At 44.3% G+C, this 5,401-nt stretch overlaps 1 annotated feature.

Moving 5' to 3' along the window:
• Nucleotides 415-956: an enhancer, noted in NCBI's record as "NANOG-H3K4me1 hESC enhancer chr6:11609547-11610088 (GRCh37/hg19 assembly coordinates)". NCBI's record gives its function as "activates a minimal SCP1, AML or CMV promoter by ChIP-STARR-seq in naive H9 embryonic stem cells {active_cell/tissue: H9 hESC(naive)}" and the evidence as "EXISTENCE:reporter gene assay evidence [ECO:0000049][PMID:30033119]".

Genomic DNA, 5,401 nt, shown 5'->3' with positions numbered 1-5,401 from the left:
TCCCTTTGTTTGGGATTCCCCTGCACTCACTAATATCATTTAGATAAGTTAAAAAAAAATCCTGATAGCTTTTGAATATTTTTGGCAAGAGCAAAATTTTTTCTAGATGGCCAGAAAAATTCCATGATTATTTTTTTTTCTCTTAAATGCAGGGGGCTTTGCAGGCTTCTAATTTTTAAGCCTGAGTGCATCTGCAGACACACATAGACACACGCACGCCCTTGGTTTCCCCTCTGGCCCACACCAGCGTGGCATGGCCCAGACAGCTGCGGTTTGTTGTGTTCGCTGGTTTCCAGCTGTGGTCCTTGCACCTGTCCTCACCCGTGTTTTGTACATTCTGGAATGTCTGCTGGTTTTCCTTATCAGACGCGTGGAAGAACATAAACATGTCACCTCTTCCTAACAAGACTTCCAGAGTGTGTGTGTGTGTGCGTGTATTTGTGGGACTTCCTAGAAACCAGGGCTGTTTTCTCTTGCCAGGCGCCACAGCAGGCCTTCCTGTGCAGGAGGTCATTTCAATAAGGACTCTCGGAGCTTAGTAAGCAGAGAAAAGAAGGTCATTCCCAGACAGGATGTTGGGAAGACGCCCGGCATGAGCCTTGCTGGGCAAGAGACGCCAACCGGACCAAGAATGTGGGCCAGTCCCCCAGGAAGTTATTCATGAGCCTGCACTGTATGATAAACAGGCAACCAAAGCCTTTTCTAAACAACTAAAATAACAATGCTCCAAATTCCAGAAAATCCTCAAACAATGACTGGACATTCCTTATCCCCTATTTGCTTATTTGTTCACCAAGTACTTTCAAAGAAACCAGAAACTGAAGTTCTGACTTGGGTTTCAGAGCAGGAATAAAGTGTGAGAAGATGTGCTGGCCACGCCGCACTCCCTGGGGACATTCTTCCTTTCAGGGGAGTCTCCCCTTGCCACGCCAGCCCAGCCTTCCAGAACCCTTGTCACTCCCAGTGGCAGTTGAAGGCTGAAAGCCAGCATGGACTAGCTTTAAGACAGGTCAGCAGGATGGGGCCGAAAACAGGGAGAAGCTTCTATGGTTTACGGGATCAAAAGATGTAAATTGGTCAGGTTAGAAAATTATTCCTGAATAAGCAAAAAAACTATTCGGGGAGCTGGAAATGTGCTATATATCTACATGACTTGAAAGAGATATCAAAATTCCTTGAGGGCATGTATTGTTTAAATTGTAATATACATTCACTTGCTACACAATGACACTTCAGTCAAAGGCAGATGCATATACAATGGTGGTCCTGTAAGATGATAGTATTTTTACTGTACTTTTGTATGTTTAGCTACACAGATACTTACCATTGCATCCCAGTGGTTTATAGTATTCAGTACAGTACCATGGGGTCCAGGTTTGCAGCCTAGGAATGATAGGGTCTACCGTATAGTGTAAGTGTGTAGTGGGCTATGCCACCTCGGTTTGTGTAACTCTGATGGTCACACAACGATGAAATAACCTAATGAAGCATTTCTCAGAAGAGATCCTCATTGTTAAGCAGCACATAACTGTGTATGTATAATAGTATGATTATATGTGTGTGTACACATATATAATGTATACATAATTTGCATAATTATGAAATAATATTCTGTACACATATATAATGTATACATAATAATTTACATAATTATGAAATAATATTCTGAGTATCATTTTATAGATATAAATGTCTACAGAATCTAAGTCTGCAAGTAGTAAGATGACGGGTGGATATATGCACATATATCTTCTAACACTTGTTTATAGGTAAGACCCATTCTTCATTGGAAGAAATAGAAACTCTTGTCATTTTTCTCACTGGTTCAGTAAAATTGCACTTGGAAACTTCAATGCAATCTTCTCTCTACTGTCCCGGCTGCAGGCCAGAACACCCAGTTTCTTCTTTTTTGCTGTGGGGCTTAAGACTCTAATGTATGCGGTTTATCTATTCTTTACTGTTGGCAATCTGTATCCCACACTCCCCTCTCCCTTATAATGAGAGCTTTGAAGGGAACAATTTTTTGTTGTTTCCTTGTTCCCCAAGTACACAAAGCAGTGACTGGCACATACTAGACACTCAAAATTAATTTTGAATGAATAAATGCATCTAGCCTCACTTCCAAAATTCAAAAACACCAGATATTTACCAGACACCAGTGAATACTTCTGATTAATGTGGACCTAAATGGAAGACTGGATTGGTATTAACATGGTACTTTCTGGAGAATAGAAAACTCAAACCCACAAACATACAATTAGGATTTGACAAAAGGGCCATCACGGGTGTCAAGAAGGATACATTTTAATGGGACAGACAGAAGAACCTGGACCATCTGGAACAACACACAGAAATGAGCCCCTGCCCACAAGCCCAAGGAATCTCTACCCTTAGACATCCTTGAAGCCAGTGCTCTGAAATGGCCAGTTTCCATCTTGTCTGTTGGTAGAAGAAAGGCTGCAAAGAGAGACTTCAGGATTTTCCCAAGCTCTCTTTTCCCAAGATTCTGTGAATTTCTCCGTCCATCTCCCAGGGGCAGGAATTCACACCACATCAAACCTCCCGACAATGCTGGCAGCGTGGCTGGTGTGAAAGAGACTCTGGACTTGGATCAAGAAGGGATGGAGTAGAGTGAGGCTGAGATCAAAAAGCAGGAAGAACAGCCTGGGGAAAGAGCTGGGGAGGAGCTGGCTCTGCTCTTTGCACTTACACCGGTTTCTACTGGACCAGCTTTAGTTCTGCAGCATTTTCCAGAAAGCCTTTTCCTGGCAACGTTGAGATTATTTCTAAAATAAACACAAACCACTTTGCATCTCTCTCCGTAGGCTGTGATGAACAGAAAGAGGCCTTGGAGAGCCGTGGGACTCAGGAGCTGGAGCCAGGCTTGAGACGGGGTCCAGAAGGAGCAAGATGGGATGCCTTTGGACTGAGACCTTAAATTCCACCCAGTTTATTACAACCATGCTCACTCCTCTACCTGCCCTGCCCCAATCGGTGCAAACTGCCTTCTCCAGTCTTGCTTCCTCTCTAATCCATAGGTTGTCTCTGTTTTAAGAAGGCAAGTGGCCAGTGAGAGCCTTAAACTACCTTAGTGTTCTCTAAATAAGATATGCCTCCATGGAGTTGTAAAAGTGGATCTTTGCATGTCACAAAATCACATATGCATGCCAGGGCCCTTTTTGCCATGGTGGGGAGTGGAGGGATGCAGTGAGACATGCTATATATTTCTTGTCTTTAAGACAACAATCTTGTTAAGAATGAAGACCAATTCTAATTGAATCCTAAATTCCTTTCCTTACCAACTGCAACAAGAGATGCCAATGCAAATCTATTTCTAGACTGAGATAGCTTCAAATTAAATTTGGAATAAAATTTCAGGAGAAGGGTCATTTCTGGCTTTCAAAGGCAAACCCAGAATCAGGCAGCCCCACTTCCTGTTAGGGTCACTTTCCCCTCTGAAAATGAATGATACATGGAGGCAGGGAGATGACAGGTGTTTAAAATTTAAACCATGTTGCCTGGGGTGGGTGCCGATCCTGGCATGCCGCCCTGGCACCCACATGATAATGAGGTGCTTGGCTGGAATCTCTGGCTGAGGGCTTTTGTTGGAAAAGGTAGCAGGCAAGCCCAAATAGCTCCCCAACAGATATAATGGCTTAATTATTACTTTAATCAGTAAGGCCGAGGTTCCTTAAAGGGCAGCTTCCTTCCCTTAGTTTTTTTCATCCCACTGGCTGCACTCACAGCTGACTGTTCTGAGCACGGTCCTGTAACGAGAGGGCACATGGCCAACTGGATCTTAAACCAGCTTTGTGCACTGTAAACAAGATGTACTCTAATTATAAAAGAGGGTAAATGGAAGAGCCCAACAGGCGGAGGAAATTGAACATGGGTACAGAGTCGGTTGACTCAGAGGTTAACTACCCATTGAAATGGAGTCTAAAATGAGAAGCGACCTTTCTTCAGCACGGTTTTCATTCCATGCTTGATCCACAAAGGAACAGATACTCCACAAGATAAAGGCACCCGTGGCTAGCGGACAGCCTTGACTTGGTTCGTTGGATTTTCACAAGCTTGCCAAAAAAAAACAAGGGGGTGGGCGAGGAGCATCTGCTTTTTACAAAGAGACTGAAATGTAAAATTAATGTTCCAGGTCTTGTTTTAGAAACATGCACCTCAGAGCAGCTAGGCTGCACTGTTTCTGTCTGAAAGGTTAGGATGGCTCATTTCAACGACCCATCCCACCCTCCCACCCTGCCCCACCTGCCTGCATTCAGCTCAGGGCAGCTTCTAAATAAGCCTCTTTGTACAAAGCCAGCGTGCCTTGCTTGCTCTGGGAAAAACTTGATAGTAGTGGCTTCCCTCCTCTCTGCCCAATCGCATTTCTGGAAAATGGATTTTCAGGTTTCAGTTTCACCCAACTCTACCCAGGGCTTGTTTTCCTGGAAGGTTCAAGTTTTCTTTGCAGATTTTTCCTGGGAGGCCTCAACTCTTTCCCCAGTCCTGATAGCTTTAAATTCTATTTTCAACCTTTGCACACGATAACCCTTTTTGTTCTCTTGGAGCCCTCATGCTGACACAATGCCCTTCCTCCTTTATAATCTGTCTGTCTTTCTATATATTTATCTCCGCAGGAATGTAGCACCAAAGAAAGAAAAGTTAGTAACAGGGTTTACTCCCTGCAGCCTAGTTGGCTGTTTATGTCTCTCTATACGAAGTATTCACCCCAGAAAGGAATGTGTACAGCTCTGGGCATCCCAGAAAACAAGCCATCCCAATGCCAGGTAACTCAGTCAAGCACAGAGGGAACTCATAACAGATATATTTTTCTTCCTTTGTTTTAGAACAAATGATGCCCGTAAGTGCTCAAATGTGAGTGGGGAAAAAGGAGGGTGTTAGAAGAAACAAAATAGTGGTGTTGCAACCGTGTTTTCTTCCTTTCCCAGGGCTCTGTGTGCACCCCACCCTCATGGCAGCCCAGCCAAGAACAGGAGATGATTCTTGACTGAAGGCTCCAAAATGACACCCCTGTTTTTGTTCTTTCCTGGGGTTCTCTGGGGACAGTGGCTGCCTGAATAGCTTCTCCAGTGATCAAGAGGTCCTGTCTGTGGTGTTCTGATGAGTTCTTTGTACTCTGTTTTCTATTCCAAGTTCCTAAAACAAAGGTGATGCATGTTTAACTGAGTATTCAAAAAAAGAAGCTTCTGGAAGCTGATAAAAATTGACTACTGTCAGTTTAGAGGCAGAATCCTTAGTTTGCTGTTTCTTCTTCCTCTTCTTTCTTCTTCTCCTCCTCCTCCCCCTCCTCACCCCCCCTTCCTCCCCCTCCGCTCTTCCTCCCCCACCCTCCTCCCCTTCCCCTCCTCGTCCCCCTCGCCTTCCTCCCCCTACCCCCCTTCTC

Source organism: Homo sapiens, chromosome 6 (assembly GCF_000001405.40).
Source record: "Homo sapiens chromosome 6, GRCh38.p14 Primary Assembly".
Classification (NCBI taxonomy): domain Eukaryota; kingdom Metazoa; phylum Chordata; class Mammalia; order Primates; family Hominidae; genus Homo; species Homo sapiens.
Note: the sequence above shows the minus strand (reverse complement) of the source record. Positions and strands in the feature narration are given on the sequence as shown.